The sequence below is a fragment of the Homo sapiens genome, chromosome 16, assembly GCF_000001405.40.
Source record: "Homo sapiens chromosome 16, GRCh38.p14 Primary Assembly".
In the NCBI taxonomy this organism is placed as follows: Eukaryota; Metazoa; Chordata; class Mammalia; order Primates; family Hominidae; genus Homo; species Homo sapiens.
In genome coordinates, this window is record NC_000016.10 from 12,823,485 (window position 1) to 12,843,118 (window position 19,634).

Consider the following 19,634-nt stretch of genomic DNA (forward strand, 5'->3'; position numbering starts at 1 on the left):
ATTGCCTGATAAAATTATGGTCTTCATGAAATACTAAAGCAATAAAGGACAAATGAGTTTCTTTTATTTTCTTTTTTGTTGTTGTTGACATGGTTTTGTTCTGTCACCCAGGCTGGAGTGCAGTGGCGCAGTCACGGCTCCCTGCAGCTTTGATGTCCCAGGCCCGAGTGATCCTCTCACCTCAGTCTCCTGAGTAGTTGGGACTACAGGCACACACCACCATGCCTCGCTAAATTTTTTTTTTTTTGACACAAGTTCTTGCTCTGTCACGCAGGCTGGAGTGCAATGGTGTGATTATGGCTCACTGCAATCTTCACCTCCCAGGCTCAAGTGTTCCTCCCATTTCAGCCTCCTGAGTAGCTGGGACTACAGGTATGCATCACAATGCCTGGCTAATTTTTTTTTTTTTTTTAAGAGACGGGGTACAGGGTTTCACCATGTTACCCAGGCTGGTCTTGAACTACTGGACTCAAGTGATCCACCTCCTGTGACTCAAGTGATCCACTGGCCTTGACCTCCCAAAGTCATTGTTTTGCATGGCCTAGGAATGTTATTTTGTCAGCTGTTTTCTTTACTTAATACGCTGATGTCATATATACCAATATATATGTGTGTGTATGTAAATGTTGATATGCCATATATGTGTATGTATAAAATAGTCCACAGTTTTACAGTTGCACGTGGATTCTGAAGTTGTTTCAAATGCTGTTCTTTTAGGTAGAACTCTATGAAATTGCTGTGTTCATTGGTCAAAAATGGCCAAATACCAGTCATTTCATATGGTTCAACCTACTATCTATGAGGACTATTGCAATAAACAGCTTAAATATATTGGTGCTCTTTTTTGGAGAATTTCTTTAGGATAAGTTCCTAGAAATGGGATTATTGGGCTAAATAGCACATACACATAAATTGTTGATGGGTTTTGTCACCATGTTCTCTTTCCCATCAATAGTGTAAGGGGCTCCCCAATATCCCTCACACTTGGCAAACTAAACTATAAGTTATGGGTAAACCAGTTTACTCTTTTTTTTTTTTTTTTTTTTTTAAGATGGAGTCTTACTCTGTCACCCAGGCTGGAGTGCAGTGGTGCAATGTTGGCTCACTGCAACCTCTACCTCCCAGGTTCAAGCAATTCTCCTGCCTCAGCCTCCCAAGTAGCAGGGACTACAGGCGTGAGTCACCATACCCAGCTAAATTTGTATTTTTAGTAGAGACAGGGTTTCACCATGTTGGCCAGGCTGGTCTCGAACTCCTGGCCTCAGATGATCCGCCTGCCTTGGCCTCCCAAAGTGCTGGGATTACAGGCTTGAGCCACTGTGCCCAGCCCTAAACTGGTTTACTCTTATGAAGTATGTATGCACTCCTCTTTCTGTGGATCTTTGTTTCCCGTTGCCTCTCTTTGGGGTGATCTTTCCTCTGGCATGCAGATACTCAGGTGCCCCCCTCAACTTGCATTGCACAAGAATCAGGCAGTAGAAACTGTGAGCCCAAACAGATGTGCCAGACAGGTCTCAATCAATTTAGAAAGTTTATTTTGTCAAGGTTAAAGACATGCCTGTGACACAGCCTTAGAATTTCCTGATGACATGTGCCCAAGGTGGTTAGGATACAGCTCGCTTCTATACCTTTTAACTAGACATCAGTCAATCAATACATGTGAGATGTACATTGGTTCGAGCTGGAAAGGCAGGACAACTCGAGACGGGGGCTTCCAGGTTATAGGTTGATTTAAAGATTGTCTGGGCTGGGCGTGGTGGCTCCTATAATCCCAGCACTTTGGGAGGCTGAGGCGGATGGATCACGAAGTCAGGAGTTCAAGACCAGCTTGTCAACATGGTGAAACCCCGTGTCTACTAAAAATACAAAAAATTAGCCTGGCATGGTGGCGGGTACCTGTAATCCCAGCTACTCGGGAGGCTGAGGCAGGCGAATCGCTTGAACCCGGGAGGCGGAGGTTGTAGTGAGCTGAGATCACACCATTGCACTCCAGCCCAGGCAATAGTGTGAGACTCCATCTCAAAAAAAAAAAAAAAGAAAAAGAAAGAAAAAAAGAAAATGAAATTATGAAAAAAAAAAAAAGATTTTCTGATGGGCAATTGACTAAAAGAGTTAAGTTATTATCTAAAGACCTGGAATCAATATAAAGGAATATCTCGGCTATGATAATGGGTTGTAGAGACCAAAGTATTATCATGCAGAAGAAGCCTCCAGGTAGCAGGCTTTGGAGATAATAGATTGTAAATGGTTTTTTTTTTTTCTTTTCTTTTCTTTTTTTTTTTTTTTTGAGACAGAGTCTTGCTCTGTCTGTCGCCCAGGCTGGAGTGCAGTGATGTGATCTTGGCTCACTGCAACCTCTGCCTCCTGGGATCAAGCGATTTTCTGCCTCAGACTCCTGAGTAGCTGGGATTACAGGCATCCACTACCATGGCCAGCTAATTTTTCTATTTTTAGTAGAGATGGGTTTTCACCATGTTGCCCAGGCTGGTCTTGAACTCCTCCTGGCCTCAAGTGATCTGCCTGCCCTGGCCTCCCAAAATGTTGGGATTACAGGCATGAGCCACCGTGCCTGGCCTGTAAATGTTTCTTATCAACTTTAAGGTCTGTGTTGATGTTAATGCTGGTTGGCTTTTCCTGAATTTCAAAAGCAGGGAGAGTATAAGGAGGCATGTCCGACTCTCCCCCAACCATGGTCTGAACTAGTTAGGTTAACTTTGGAATGTCCTTGGCTAAGAGGAGGGGGTCCATTCACATGGGCCTTAGAATTTTATTTTTTGTTTACAAAACTGAAACTGTGCCTCCTTTTGTGACAACTGTAACATTGAATTTCCTGGTATGTGATTTCTAAAAAAACTGATTTATATATTTAAAATTCCTGTATATCACATTAATTATTTCCTGAGTTTGGTGTGCATCATGAGTACAGAATATTATCAATAAAATAAAAGTAAATTTAAAGTAAGCTGACAAGGTGCCAGCTCCAATGTTAAGCATTTGTTTTATTGAATCTTTACAGCCACGCTGAGAAGTAAGTATTGGCATCCACATTTTACATAGAAAAAACTTGGGCTCAGAGAGGTTAATTCTCTCATCCAAGGTGGCATAGCTACTGTATTGATGATCTATTGCTACTTGACATGGTTTGGCTGTGTCTGTACCCAAATCTCACTTGAATTGTAATAATCCCCACGTGTCAAGAGCAGGGCCAGGTGGAGATAATTGAATCATAGGGGTGGTTCCCCCATACTGTTCTTGTGGTAGTGAGTTTCACAATATCTGATGGTTTTATAAAGGGAGTTCCCCTGCACATGTTCTCTTGCCTGCTGCCAGGTAAGACGTGACTTTGCTCCTCCTTTGCCTTCTGCCATGATTGTGAGGCCTCCCTAGCCATGTTGGAACTGTGAGTCCAACACGTCCCTTCAACCTCTTTCCTTTATAAATTATCCAGTCTCTGCTATGTCTTTATCAGCAGCATGAGCACAGACTAATACACTACTTAACAAATTACCACAAACTTAGCAGCCTTAAATGACAAATATTTATTATTTGACAGTTGCTGGGAGCCAGGAGTTTGGGCAAAGCTTAGCTAAATACTCTGCTTATGGGTTCTCAAGAGGCTATAACTGAGGAGTCAGTCAGGGTGGGGGTCACCTCTGAAGACTCAGCTGGGGAAAGGTCTGCTTTGCAACTTCACTTACATGGCTGTTGGAAGGATTCAGTTCCTTCAGGTTTCTTGGCCCAAGGGCTTCAGTTTCCTGTTGGCTGGAGGCCACCTTCAGTTCCTTGGCACATGGCACTTTCTAACATGGTGGCTCACAACATGGAAACTTGCTTCATCAAAGCAGCAAGGGACAGAAACTTCTAGCAAGACAAAACTCACATCTTGTGTAGTTTCATCACAGAAGTAGCATCCAATTACTTTGACCATATTCTGTTGGTTAGAATCAAGCCACCAGGGCAATACACACTTAGGGGAGAGGATTACACAAGTGCACAAAGACCAGGAGGTGGGAATCACTGGGGCCATATCGAGTCTACCTGCCACAGCAATTGAAGAGCAAAGCTGGGATGTGAAGCCAGTTTCATCCAAGTCTGAAGCTCCCAACAGTTAACCATTAAGCTCCACTGCCTTCCACAGAAATTAATCTGATTACTTTTTAGAAATATTAATCTGGTTATTCCAACATGGACTGCAGTGTTTATCTCAATGGGTTACCCTTTTAAATCTGTTCTCTCAAGTGAGAACTGAAAGATCCATCCAAAGTGAATGAATTCACTAGTTTTATGAATTTTCTTAAGAGGTAACTTTAGAAAGGAAGACTAATGACCTTAAGACTTCCAATGCTAAATCTTGACCCTGAGCTATTAGACCTAGCCTTCCTATATGATTTTTAGAACATCTGACCAATTTGCATAAAGAAATATACAAATCGGGCAGATGATTAGATTCAAAGAAGATAAACAAAACTTCCCTGGGAGAAAGAATTTAGATTATTCCCTCAACCTTTTTTCCCTCCCCTTTTATGTCTTGAATCTGTAACTAAGTTCAGAATTAAAATGACTAGTCTTAACAAACATCTTCAGACTCAGCCATACATCTGTGTATAATTTGGTTTGTGGGAGAGCAGGAGGACTGGTTCATGGGGCATCTTTGTGGGCAGCAATATATCTTCATTTATTGAAATGTTCCTAGCAACAGAAGTTGTTTTCTTTATCGCCCCCAAATCCTCAAAGTAGAAACAGGCAAAAATGATGACAAGAAATCTAGAAAATTGTAGATGTATTTTCATTTTTTTAAAGTGTAACTTGTGTTGTAAGTATATTTCCTGGCATTTGCCAACATAAAGTCAAAAGCTTTTTTTAAAAAAATTTTAATGACAAACATGAGTTCATGTGCAATTTTTTTTTCCCCAAAAGCTAACATATGGGACAGCAGTTAAATGCTGTCCTGTCATACTGCTTAGAGATTGCTTTGGCATTTCAATTGTATTTCCCTGGCATGATGATTTTTCTTTGGCTATTTTCATATTATTCTACTTTGCATGCATTCAGAATGTACCAGCTCAATTCCTTCTGCAAAGTAACAACAACAAAATTTATTAAAAATTGTTAATGATCACTTACTGTGTAGTCATTCTAGGCTACACACTTTCCATGCATTATTTCATGCTGTTTTCATAATAATCCTAAAACCTAGGTAATTATCTGATTTTATAGATAAGGAAAATGAAGCTTGTGGCTCAGAGAACTTAAGTAATTTGCCCAAGGCCACACAGCAAGTAATTAGTAGAGCAGGATTGGAGAGCATGCTCTTTGGACTATGCAATACTGCATAGGCAATGAGTGATGAATGAATGAATGAGTGACTACTGAGCTCAATTAGAGCAGAACTTACCTGTGTTTTTTGTTTTTTTTTTTGAGATGGATTCTTGCTCTGTTGCCCAGGCTGGAGTGCAGTGGCATGATCTCAGCTCACTGCAACCTCTGCCTCCCAGGTTACAGCGATTCTCCTGCCTCAGCCTCCCAAGTAGCTGGGATTACAGGCATGCACTACGAGACCTGGCTAATTTTTTATTATTAGTAGAGATGGGGTTTCACCATGTTGGCCAGGAGGTCGAACTCCTGACCTCAGGTGATCCACCTGCCTCGGTCTCCCTAAGTGCCAGGATTACAAGTGTGAGCCACCGCCACGCCTGGCCCCTTACTTGTAATTGTATGAGTAAATCAGAGTTTCTCATTTTCTCCCATCCTCCATTGGCAAAGAGTGCAGGATAATGAGACCTCAGGCTTTGTGGGTATTTGTGTTGGCGAAGACCATAGGCTGTGGAGTCAGACAGAGCTATATTCCAATTCAGGCTTACAGCTTTTCAGCTGTACGACCTTGGCCAAGTTCTATAACCTTACTGAGCCTCAGTTTGCTCTTACAAAAAGAGCAGGAATAATGAGTTTTCATCAAGGCCATTTGCAAACAAGGATCTATTTAGTGAAATAAATATGAGTGTATCCATGTCATACAGTTGATGTGAGGATTCTATGAGGGTATACACATAAAGCACTTACTTAGCACAGTGCCTGAAGGTATGGATAAATGCTTACTCCTTGGTAGTTACCATAATTATAATATCACATGGAGTTATGAAAAGTTGGATTTGAGTTCTGATTCTTTCACTTATTAGCTCTGTGACTAGCAGTAAGATATCTCTCTGAGACTCAGTTTCCCTATCTGTAAAATGGGTATCACAATATCGCCCTTGCCGTGAACGATGCTGTGAAAAATTGTATGGAAGTGGTTCTCAAATGTCACCCAGAAATAGTTGGCAGTGTTTGAAGACATCCTGGCCGTCATACTGAGGGGAGGTGGTGGTGGTGCTACTGGCATCTAGGGGGTAGAGGACAGGGACGCTGCTGAACATCCTATAATGCCCATGGCAGCCCCTACAACTCAGCATTATCTGGCCCCAAATACCAATGGTTCCAAGGTGGAGAAATCCTTTGGAATGGGCATTTCACGCAGAGCTAGTGCACAGGAAATGCTAGCTATAATATTATTATGTTTTGTCATTTTGAGTTTCCATTTTTTTTTCTTTTTTCTTTTTTTTTTTTTTTGAGACAGAGTCTCAGTCTGTTGCCCAGGCTGGAGTGCAGTGGTGCATTCTCGGCTATCTGAAGACTCTACCTCCTGGGTTCAAGTGATTCTCCTGCTTCAGCCTCCCAAGTAGCTGGGATTATAGGCACCCATGACCACGCCTAGCTAATTTTTGTATTTTTAGTAGAGATGGGGTTTTGCCATGTTGGCCAGGCTGGTCTCGAACTCCTAACCTCAGGTGATCTGCCCACCTCAGCCTCCCAAAGTGCTGGGATTACAGGCGTGAGCCACTGCGCCCGGCTGAAATATCCAATTATTAATGATACATTTTCCTGAAAAGGTATGATTATTGACAAATTAGTCTACTCATGTTTTAAGAGTAAAGTTGACATATTAAGCCTTTTTTTCTTTCTTCAGATAGAGTCTTGCTCTGTCGCCCAGGCTGAAGTGCATTGGTGTGCTCTCAGCTCACTGCAACCTCCGCCTCCCGGGTTCAAGTGATTCTCCTGCCTCAGCCTCCTGAGTAGCTAGGATTACAGACATGTACCACCATGCCCAGCTAATTTTTTTTTTTCTGTATTTTTAGTAGAGACAGGGTTTCACCATGTTGGCCAGGCTGGTGTTGAACTCCTGACCTCATGTGATCCACCTGCTTCCGCCTCCCAAAATGCTGGGATTACAGGTGTGAGCCACTGCACCCAGCCTAGGCCATCTTTAATGTCAAAAAAGAAGGAGATTAGCCTTCTTTTTAGTTTAGATTTTTCTTTTTTTAGTAGCAACCCTTAATCATTGTGGAAGACTTGCAAAGTTTAAAGAAATATTGAGGAGAAGAAAGAAGAGATAAAGAAAACAGTCAGCTGGGCATGGTGGCTCATACCTGTAATCCCAGTACTTTGGGAGGCTGAGGTAGGAGGATCACTTGAGGCCAGGAGTTCAAGACCATTCTGGTCACCATAGGGAGAACTCCATGTCTAAGGAACTAGTAAAATTTTTTTAAACATTAGCCAAATGTAGTGGTGCACACATCTACTCCTAACTACTTGGGAGGCTGAGGGAGGAGGATTGCTTGAGCCCAGGACTTTGAAGCTGCAATGAGCTAGGATTATGCCACTGCACTCCAGCTTGAGTGATAGAGCAAGACCCTGTCTGTTCTACTCTCAAAGAAAATGGTTTTGTCTTCTTTATCTTCTCCCTTCATCTTCCTATGAACCCGCCTACCATCTGCCTGAATCTGTACCACATTTCCCCTCTCCTCTCTCCAATGACAACGTAGGGATAGACTGTGACACCCACAAAAAAGATCCTGCATTTTGTGCATTGCACCCTACTGTCTAAACTGCTTAGTAGATAGTAGTTTTCCCATCTGTACTCCGTCTTTCCCTTCAGCACAGAATGGTAGACAGACTTCTGTTATAGCAGAAGCGTAACCACTAAATTGTCTGGTCTTCCTCTTTGGAGAAGGAACTAAAAAATAAAAAAGATGCAAGGGGCAACATCTGGTCAGATTCTCTAACCCACTCAGAGTTCCCCTGAAATGATGTGGGCTGCAGCTGTCTTAACCTGCTGGAGAGTTTGCATGTGGGACAGAGCAGCTGCTGCCCACATCGCACAGTGCTCGAGACAAGCTGTGAATTTTATTTTATTTTGAGATGGAGTTTTCCTCTTGTTGCCCAGGCTGGAATGCAGTGACATGTTATTGGCTCATTGCAACCTCTGCCTCCCAGGTTCAAATGATGCTCCTGCCTCAGCCTCCTGAGTAGCTGGGATTACAGGTGCCCACAACCACATCTGGCTAATTATTTTTTTTTTTTGTATTTTTAGTAGAGACGGGGTTTTGCCATGTTGGCCAGGCTGGTCTTGAACTCCTAACCTCGGATGATCCCCCCCTACCTTGGCCTCCCAAAATGCCGGGATTACAGGCATGAGCCACTGCACATGGCCTCAGAAGTATATTAACCTTTTTTGGTCAATACTTCCATGTATCAATAACTAATAACAATTGATATTCAGAATGATGAACCCAAGATCTATAAGGTCCTCAAATACCTTCTAATTCATTAGTAAAATGATAAAGCTCGGTTAGGAGGACCTTTTGTTTTGGTTTATATTTGGCAACTGATGATCTTTTCACAGTATTGTACCTAGCTGTAACACCAAGGGTATTGAATTCACCATTTTCTTCTCCAATTCCATCTGTACAGAGAAGGGAGTGTGGCATGAGTGAAATCATTTCAGAACCAAACAGATCTGAGCTAGAATCTTGGTGCTGGCATTTTTCCACTGTGAAAAGTAATTTAAATTTTCCCAGTCCCTGGGAATAACAACACGTGCCTTGGAGGAATATTGGGGAAAATGTCACACCCGATCCTGTATAGTAATTATTATTGCTGTTTCTGTCTTGTCCATAAAGTGTGTGCTCACCAATTCTTTTGATTTCACCTGTTCCTTCTTCCCCACCAACAGAATGCCTAGTGCATAGTAGGTGTTCAATAAATGTTTACTGATTCATCACTTAGAGTATCGTCTGAATGAGAAGAGGGCTCTCATTTCTCTCCCCTACTCTTCTACTGTATATGTATATGTATATGTATATGTATATGTATATGTATATGTATTTGTTTGTTTCTATGGCACACATCACTATGTGGCATGACATATGTTTATCTGCTTATTTTCTGCCTCCTCCATGAAATGTAAGCTCCAAGAAGATAAGAAATTGTATTTACTCAATCCCTACAGATTTTTTTTTCTTTCTTTTTTTTTTTTTTTTTTTTTTTGACAGGGTCTTTTTCTGTAGCCCAGGCTGGAGGGCAATGGCGGGATCTTGGCTCACTGCAACCTCTACCTCCCAGGCTCAAGTGATTCTCATGCCTCAGCCTCCTGAGTAGCTGGGACCACAGATGTGCATCACCATGCCTGGCTAATTTTTGTATTTTTAGTAGAGACGGGATTTCACTATGTTGCCCAGGCTGGCCTCAAACTCCTGACCTGAAGTGATCCACCTGCCTTGGTCTCACAAAGTGCTGGGATTACAGGCATAAACCACTGCTCCTGACCTTTTTTTTTTCTTTTTTTTTTTTTGATACAGGGTCTCACTTTGTAGCCCAGGCTGGAGTGCAGTGGTGGGATCACAGCTCACTGCAGCCTCAATCTCCCAGGCTCAAGTGATCCTCCTGCCTCAGCCTCCTGAGTAGCCAGGACTATAGGTGTGGGCCACCACTCCTGGCTAACTTTTGTATTTTTATTAGAGACGGGATTTCCCCATGTTGGCCAGACTGGTCTCAAACTCCTGACCTCAGGTGATCTGCCCGCTTCAGCCTCCCAAAGTGCTGGGATTACAGGCATAAGCCACCATGCCCAGCCCCGGCTAGCTTTTTAAATTTATTTTTTTTTAACAACAGGGTCTCACTATGTTGAGACCAGCCTAGGCTGGTCTCAAACTCCTGGCCTCAAGCGATCTTTCTGCCTTAGCAGAAAGTGCTGGGATTACAGGCATGAGCCACTGTGCCTGGCCTAGTCCCTATATATCTCTAGTGCTCAGTACTTACTGTTTCTCATTATTGTAGAGGCTCAATAAATATTATTGAATAAATGAAGTGCATGAGTGATGTCAGCAAAAAAATGAACTCTATTATTTCACACACAAAGTGAAACTCCAAAGACCATAAGGCAAATCACCAAGGAAAAATTTGTTGCCTGGAAGACGGTGGACTTCATATTATTTCCAGCAATAAGGTTTTACAAATTAATTGATTTTTTGACTCACTTTGTGTGGGTTTAAACAATATATCCAAAAGCTCTATACTATATCCTTTGAATTACTGAAACAATTAGAGACCCGAAAGCTGAAATAATGAGTTAAACACTTAGTTGAGCCATCTCTATTAGCGCTTTGCATTTATTGCCTTTCAGCCTCATCTCTGCGGTGTGAGCTTCAGTGCACACTGGGTGCTTCTGGGGACCGATTCCATGAGTTCTCTCCTCATTTCCCTCCCTGCTCATTGGAGAAAACAGCAGACCTGCCCTTGGGTGACATCACCGCTTTGCAGCGCGGGAGCTGCCTGTCAGACCTTCTGAAGGGAGCTACTGCCTCGTCTGAGCCCTGGAGTGCCACCGCCCCTGCACCAGCAATGTTTAATAACATGAAGAATACAAAGGCTGGCGAGATGAGTCACTGGTGCGAGTGACCAGCCAAATTGAATCTCCTTTAATGGAAAGGCCTTAAAATAAAGAAATACAAATGCACTCTAATTTCCAGTTTTAGTGGGAAATGAAATGTATTTCCAGGGAGCATGCCCACATGTGCTTCTTTCTGGTGGATGCCATAAAACACCTCTGAACCTGAATTAGGGTCCAAATTCTTTCTTCACCCAGTGTTTGGCAAATTTCAGCATTTGCATGCCATCTTCCCTAATTTCTTTGCCCTACCTGCGTGCCTCCTGTGTTATTATTTACTTTCTAGTTTTCTGTGATTCACTTTTGTTACTCAAATACCTTGGCTTAAAAGTGAAAAACAGGCCGGGCGCGGTGGCTCACGCTTGTAATCCCAGCACCTTGGGAGGCCGAGGGGGGTGAATCATCTGAGGTCGGGAATTGGAGACCAGCCTGGCCAACATGGTGAAACCCCGTCTCTACTAAAGATACAAAAATTAGCTGGGCATGATGGTGAGTGCCTGTAATCCCAGCTACTTGGGAGGCTAAGGCAGGAGAATCACTTGAACCTGGGAGACAGAGGTTACAGTGAGCCGAGATCGCACCACTGCACTCCATCCTGGGCGACAAGAGTGAAACTCTGTCTCAATAAATAGATAAATAAATAAATAAATAAAAATAAAAAATAAAAAAATGTGAAAAATTCTCACTGCTCACAATTCTGGTAAACTAGTATTTCCTGCCACAAATAGACATGTGTAAAATTAGACGGGGAAGAAAACAGTATCAATACCTGTTAGGTAGCTTCTGGTCTCTGCTAAGGACCTTGAGACAGAGATTTGAGATCTCTTTGATCAAAAGGAGAGTGAAAGTGTTAGGTGGTAAAGAAACAGTAAATGCAAACCAAGACGTTCTCCTTAAAGCAATGAAGTACATTGAAAAGGGAATACTGCCAGGACCTCCTTTGTGGTGATGGGTTCTGTATCAGGATTATGCTGGTGGTTGTACAGAGGTATGCACAAAATAAAATTGCATAGAACTACACACACAAACACACACACACACACAAATACATGTAAAAACTGGTGAAATCTGAATGAAGTCTGTAGCCTAGTTAACAATATTGTACCAATGCCTATTTCTTGATTTTGATATAGCGCTAAAGTTATATAAGATGTCACCATGCAGGACTTTCCATGCTATTTTTGTGGGAACATCCTGTAGGTCTGCATTATTTCAAATTAAAAAAACAATTTCACTGGGCGTGGTGGCTCATGCCTGTAATCCCAGAGCTTTAGGAGTGTGAGGCGGGTGGATCACTTGAGGTCAGGAGTTCAAGACCAACCTGGACAACATGGTGAAACACCATCTCCACTAAAAATACAAAAACTAGCTGGGTGTGGTGGTGGGCGTCTGTAATCCCAGCTCCTCGGGAGGCTGAGGCAGGATAATTGCTTGAACCTGGGAGGCGGAGGTTGCAGTGAGCCAAGATAGTGCCACTGCACTCCAGCCTGGGCAAGAGAGCAAGACTCCTTCTAAATCAATCAATCAATCAATCAATCAATCAATCAATCAATCACGGAGGGGAGTATTATCTTCCCTGTGTGACCTGCATCTATGTACCACATAAAATCAACATATGTACTGCTCACTTTGGGCAAAAATTGGCATACTTTTTCTGCAGGTAAAAACCTAAGTATATTCATTTATCTGGCTTTGGGCCCCTAAAGAATAGGACATAGTATCATTAGAGGCAGGAGAGCATTGTGGTTGGGAGCCTAGGCTCAGGATTCCAACAGAAATGGAGGGAGTCTCAGATTTACTTTGCCGGTAGAGAGACCTTGAGTAATGGTCTTAACCCTCTCATAGTCTAAGTCTTTTTGATTGAAAAGTGAAGATAAGGTGATTATGGTATGTTTCTCATAGGGGTTTTAGGTAGATTTTATGAAATAATTCAGGTAAGGCACTTTGCATACTACATGGCACTTAATAAGTGCTCGATATTTATTTATCTTTATCATCTTCTTTCTCTTATTCTCCCTCTTTTTCCATTATATTCATCATTATCACCAACCAATCAATCATTATCGTTGTCATCATAATGGGTTGAATTGTGTCCCTTAAAGTGATATGTTCAAGTTCTAACCCCTAGTATCTGTGATTGTGACCAAATTTGTGAACAAGGTCTTTGCAGATGTAATCAATCAAATTAAGATGAAGTCATACATGCTTGCAGGGACCCTACTCCACTGACTGGTGTCTTTATAAAAGAAAGAAGAGGGTGATTTGGAGATAGAGACAAGGACAAGATACTCAGTAAAGGAGACATGTAAAGATGGAGGCAGAGGCCAGGCATGGTGGCTCGCGCCTGTAATCCCAGCACTTTGGGAGGCCAAGGTGGGCAGATCACATGAGGTCAGGAGTTTGAGACCAGCCTGGTCATCATGGCAAAACTCTGTCTCTACTAAAAATACAAACATTAGCTGAGCATGGTGGTGCATGCCTGTAATCCCAGCCACTAAGGAGGCTGAGGCACAAGAATCACTTGAACCTGGGAGGCAAAGGATGCAGCTCCAGTGAGCTGAGGTCATACCATTGCGCTCCAGTGAGCTGAAATCACACCATGGTACTCCAGTCTGGGTGACAGAGGACGACACTAAAAAAAAAAAAAAAATTGGAGGCAGAGATTGGAGTTATACTGCCACCAACCAAGTAATGCCAAGAATTGCCAGTTGCAACTAGAAGCTAGAAGAGGCAAGAAAGAATTATTTTCTAGAAACTTCAGAGGGAGCATAACCCTACTAACACCTTGATTTTAGACTTCTAGCCTCCAGAATTATAAGAGAACACATTTCTATTATTTTAAGGCAGCCAATCTGTGATATTTCCTTATGGGAATTCTAGGAATCTAATACAGATTTTGGTACTGGGAAGTGGAATGCTGCTATAAAAAATATCTACAAATTGGCTGGGCACAGTGTTTCATGCCTGTAATCCCAGCACTTTCGGCGGCCAAGGCGGGCAGATCACTTGAGATCAGGAGTTCAAGACCAGCCTGGCCAACATGGTGAAACCCTGTTCCTACTAAAAATACAAAAATTAGCCAGGCATGGTGGCATGTGCCTGTAGTTGTGGCTACTTGGAAGGCTGAGGCATGAGAATTGCTTGAACCTGGTAGGCAGAGGCTGTAGTGAGTTGAGATTGCACCACTGCACTCCAGTCTGGTTGAGAGAGGTTGACTCTGTCTCAAAAAAAAAAAAAAAAAAAAAAAGAAAAAAGAAAAACCTAAAAATGTGGAAGTGGTTTTGAAATTGGCTAGTGGGTAGAGGCTGAAAGAATTCTGACGCATTGACAGAAGAAGGCTAGATTGCCTTGAAGGGACTATTGGTAGAAATATGGACATTAAGGGAGATATACTGATGAGAACTCAAAAGGAAGGGAAGAGGCTGGTAATTAAAACTGCTATTGTTTTAGAGAATACATATATTGTCACAGTCTGTTGTACAGATATGATAATGAAAGGTGTTTCTGTTGAGGCCTCAGAAGGAAATGAGGAGACAAAAAAGCCAAAAAAAAAAAAGTAAAAATAAAAAAAGGAAATGAGGAAACCAAAAAAATTATTGCACACTGGAGGAAATGTGGTTCTTGTTATAAAGTGCCAGGAAACTTGGCTGAATTGTTTTCTGTTATTTTGTGGAAAGTAGAACTTGTAAGCAGTGAACTTGCATATTTAGCAGAGGAGATTTCCAAGCAAAGTGTTGAAGGTGTGGCCTGATTTCTCCTTGCATTTATAGTAAAATGAAAGAGGAAAGAGTTAAATCAAGGAAAGAACTATTAAGCAAGAAGGAGCCATAACTTGGTGATTTGAAATAATCCCAGTCTACCTGTATTTCAAAATATGCTAAAACATACTCTGGAGAGAATTCCCATATTCCCATAGAGTGGCTGGAAAACCATTTGCTAAAGAGGTTGAGTGTTTTTTTTTTTTGAGACAGGGTCTCTCTCTGTCACCCAGGCTGGAGTGCAGTGGTGGGATCTTGGCTGACCGCAACCTCTGCCTCCCAGGTTCAAGCAATTCTCGTGCCTCAGCCTCCAGAGTAGTTGGGACTATAGGCACATGCCAACACACCCAGTCAATTTTGGTATTTCTTAGTAGAGATGGGGTTTCACCACGTTGCCCAGGCTGGTCTTGTGCTCATGACCTCAATTGATCCACCCACCTCACCCTCCCAAAATGCTGGAATTACAGGTGTGAGCCACCATGCCTGGCCTAATCTTTTTGTTTCTGACTACTGTCTCTTGTTTCTAAAGAGATTGAATATTTGGCTAATGGAAACAATCAGCCATCCTAGCAGAAGCCAGGAATAGAGATGAGGTTATCCAGGAAAGAGCTGTGGAGAACCCTCTTACCTGATTGTGTGGACTCTGTGAGTTGCACAGGAGACACACAAAGTTTTGAGAATGTTATATCAGCAGAAGCACTGTCACCCTGAATTGAAAGGGACAGAAGCAGAATTAAATGAAGAGAAGCTGTTGGACTTCCAAAATGTCACAGGCAGGATATGAACTCATAGAGGTACTGAGCTTCAAACATGTGTTTCCTTTAAGAAAAAGGAAGAATGACTCTGAGGACATCCTTAAGACTGACAGGGCTTCTGTAGGCTCAGAAGACAGAGCATCAGCCTGTTGAGGATTATTTTCAGGCCTTGAGACCTAATGAAATTTGTCTTGCTGAGGTTTTTTATTTTTTTAGACAGAGTCTTGCTCTGTCTCCCAGGCTGGAGTGCAGGGGTGTGATCTTGGCTCACTGCAACCGCACTGCCTTCCAGGTTCAAGTGATTCTCCTGCTTCAGCCTCCCAAGTAGCTGGGATTACAGTCATCTACCACCGTGTCTGGCTAATTTTTGTATTTTTAGTGGAGACGGGGTTTTGCCATGTTGATCAGTCTTGTCTTGAACTCCTGACCTCAGGTGATCCACCCACCTCGGCCTCCCAAAGTGCTGGGATTACAGGAGTGAGCCACTGTGCCTGGCTTTGTCTTGCTGAGTTTTGAACTCACTTGGGACAAGTGACCCCCTTATTCTTTCCATTTTCTCTCTATGGGAATGGGAATGCCTGTCCTATATCTGTCCCATCATTGCATTTTGGAAGCAGATAACTTGTTTTATACTTTCACATTTCCACAGATGAGGAGAATTTTTGCCTCAGCATTCATGATACCCAGAGTTGCACCCAAGCCTGATTTACATGATTTACATGGTAAGATTTGGGACTTCTTGAGTTGATTTTTTTCTTCTTGTTGTTTGTTTGTTTTGAGACAGGGTCTTCCTCTGTTGCGCAGGCTGGAGTGCAGTGGCACAATCAGCTCACTCCATTCTCTGCCTCCCGGGTTGAAAAAATCCTCCTGCCTTAGCATCCTGAGTACCTGGGACTACAGGTGTGCACCACCACGCCTGAGCACACCATGCCTGACTAATTTTTGTATTTTTAGTAGAGATGGGGTTTCATCATATTGCCTGGGCTGGTCTTGAACTCCTGCGCTCAAGCAACCCACCTGCCTTGGCCTCCCAAAGTGCTGGGATTTATAGGCATGAGCCACCACATCCGGCCATTAAGTCTCTATTTCTGTTCTGATCTTTATTATTTCTTTCCTCGTATTAATTTTGGGTTTAATGTTTCTTCCCATCAATAGTGAACGATCTGAAAAAGAAATCAAGAAACCAATCCCATTTAAAATAGCAACAAAATAAAATGCCTAGGAATAAATCTAATCAAAGAGGTGAAACATAAAACATTGATGAAATAAATTGAAGAAGACACCAATAAATGGAAAGATATCCCATGTGCATGGCTTGGAAGAATTAATATTGTTAAAATGTTCGTACTACCCAAAGCAATTTACATATTCAATGCAATGCCTATCAAAATACCAATGACATTATTCACAGAAATAGAAAAAACAGTTCTAAAATCTGTATGGAACCACAGAAGGTCCTGTATAGCTAAAGGAGTCTTGAGCAAAAAGAACAGAGCTGGAGTCATCACACTACCTTCAAAATATATTACAAAGCTATAGTAACCTAAAACACATGGTACTGGCATATGAATAGACACACAGACCAATGGAACAGAATAGAGAACACAGAATAAATCTGCACACTTATAGCCAGCTGATTTTTGACAAATTTGCCAAGAACCTATACTGGGGAAAGGACAGTCTCTTTGGTAAATAATGCTGGGAAAACTGGATCTCCCTATACAGAAGAATGAAACTGGATCCCTATCTATCACCGTATACAAAAATAAACTCAAAATGAATTAAAGACTTACATTTAAGACTGAAATAATAAAATGACAAAACTACTAGAAGAAAACACAGGGAAATGCTTCTTGACATTGGTCCATGCAAGGATTTTTTTTTTTTTTTTTTTGCAAAAGACCTGAAAATCACAGGGAACAAAAGCAAAAATAGAAAAACATGTGAGTATTTAAAGCTAGAAAACTTCTTCATAGCAAAGGAAACAATCAACAGAGTGAAAAGACAACCTTCAGAATGGGAGAAAATATTTGCAAACTATATATCTGACCAGGGGTTAATATCCAGAATGTATAAGGAACTCAAAGAACTTAATAGCACAAAACCCCAAAAAATCCAATTACAAATAAGCAAAAGCCTTGAATAGACATTTCTCAAAGAAGACACAGAAATGACCAACAGATAAATGAAAAAATGCTCAACATCATTGCTAATCATGCTAATCATAGCTAAACATGCTAATCATCAGGGAAATGCAAATCAGAACTACAATGAGATATCATCTTACCCCAGGTAGAATGGTTACTATCAAAAAGACAAAAAATAACATATGCTGGCACAGAAGTGGAGAAAGGGGAACCCTTGCACACAGTTGGTGGGAATGTAAATAACTACAGCCTTTATGGACAACAGTATGCTGGTTCCTCAAAGAACTAAAAATGGAGCTACCGTATGATCTGGCGATCCCACTACTGGGATTGAAATAAATATGGGAAATGAAATCAATATGTCAAAGAGACATGTGCACTCCCATGTTTATTGCAGCATTATTCACAATAGGCAAGATATGAAATTAATCTAAGTATCCATTAACAGATGAATGGATAAATAATATGTAGGTATATATATATATACAATGGAGTACTATTTAGCCATTAAAAAGGAGGAAATTCTGTCATTGGCAGCAACCTGGATGAACCTGGAGGACATTAAGTTAAATGAAATAAGCCAGGCACAGAAAGACAAATACCGCACAATCCCCCTCCTATGTGGAATCTAAAGAAGTTGATCTCATAGAAATAGAGAGTAGAATAGTGGTTACCAGAGGCTGCGGAGGTTAGTGGAGAGGAGATAGGGAGAGATTGGTCAACAGGTACGAAGTTGCAGTTAGATAGGAGGAATAAGTTCTTGCATCCTACTGCACAATAGGGTGACTATGTTTAACTATATTTTTGTTGTTGTTGTTGTTGTTTTTTGAGATGGAGTCTCACTCTGTTGCCCAGGCTGGAGTGCAGTGGCATGATCTTGGCTCACTGCAACCTCTGTCTCCTGGGTTCCAGTGATTCTCCTGCCTCAGCCTCCCTGAGCTGGGATTACAGGTACGTACCACCACATCCAGCTAAGTTTTGTTAAAAATAGAAACTAAAAATGTAGAGCTGGGATTTTGCCAGTTGGCCAGGCTGGTTTCGAACTCCTGACCTTGGGTGGTCTGCCCAGCTTGGCCTCCCAAAGTGCTGGGATTACAGGTGTGAGCCACTGTGCCTGGCCAACAATATTGTATTATTTATTTTGAAATAGCTAGAAGAGAGAATTTTGAATGTACTCACCACAAAGAAATGATAAATGTATGAGGTGATCGACATGGTAAATACCCTGATTTAATTTTTACACAATGCATATATATATTGAAACATCAAACTATACCCCATAAATATATATCATTATTATGTGTCAACTAGTAACAAAATAATAACTAATAATAACTAACAAATAACAAAACATAATAATAAGGCACAGACCACAAAGCTTATTAGAGATAAAGTGAGATTAATTCTTAAAAGTATTAGATTTAGATTTATGATTCCTCTAACTTTGCTAAGGAACATTAATCATTCATAGCAAAATATTTCCTTTAGCTGATTATATATATATATTTTCTCAGTTAATTCAATATTATTCCACATTTAGAGTTAATAATTTTCTACCAGGCTTTTTTTTTCCTACTTCAATTTGTTTCCTCTGACGGGATACAAGACAAACACCGTTTGCCTGAGTTTTTAAAGCGTATTTCCTTTGCTCACTTGAATGATCAATAAAGACATAAGTCCAATTGGCAAAGTGAAAAGGGGGTTCTACCAGATTTTAATACACAGTAAAATATATGTAAGTAAACCAGAAGTAATGTTTTCCCTGACAAAACTATTTTGAAATCACTTTCAATTTATGTGCCATGAAAAATGTTTAGATTTTCCCCCAATGATGTAATTGTAGAATTGAGATACATCTTATATATCTGCCTAGCTTATGTGCTAACAAAGATGATAGTAACCCAGATAAATTGTGTGTTAGTTTTTCATATGTCTCAATGTCTCAATGGGGAATCTTTTTTTTTTTTTTTTTTTTTTTTCGAGACAGGGTCTCACTCCGTCTCCCAGGCTGGAGTGCAAGTGGGGTGATCCTGGGTCACCGCAACCCCCACCTCCCAGGTTCAAGTGATTTTCATGCCTCAGTCTCTTGAGTCGCTGGGACTACAGGAGCCCACTACTATGCCCAGTTAGTTTTTGTATTTTTAATAGAGATGGGGTTTCACCATGCTGGCCCAGCTGGTCTCAAACTCCTGACCTCAAGTGATCCTCCCGC

The 19,634-nt window shown here is 41.5% G+C and overlaps 1 non-coding gene across 1 annotated transcript; it reads right to left on the reverse strand.

The window, feature by feature from the left end:
- Window positions 1-19,002: 19,002 nt before the first annotated feature.
- On the reverse strand, window positions 19,003-19,126 carry LOC124900378 (small nucleolar RNA SNORA27). The gene has a single exon (XR_007065227.1). It is a non-coding gene; the product is annotated as a small nucleolar RNA SNORA27 (small nucleolar RNA).
- Between the last annotated feature and the right edge of the window lie 508 nt (window positions 19,127-19,634).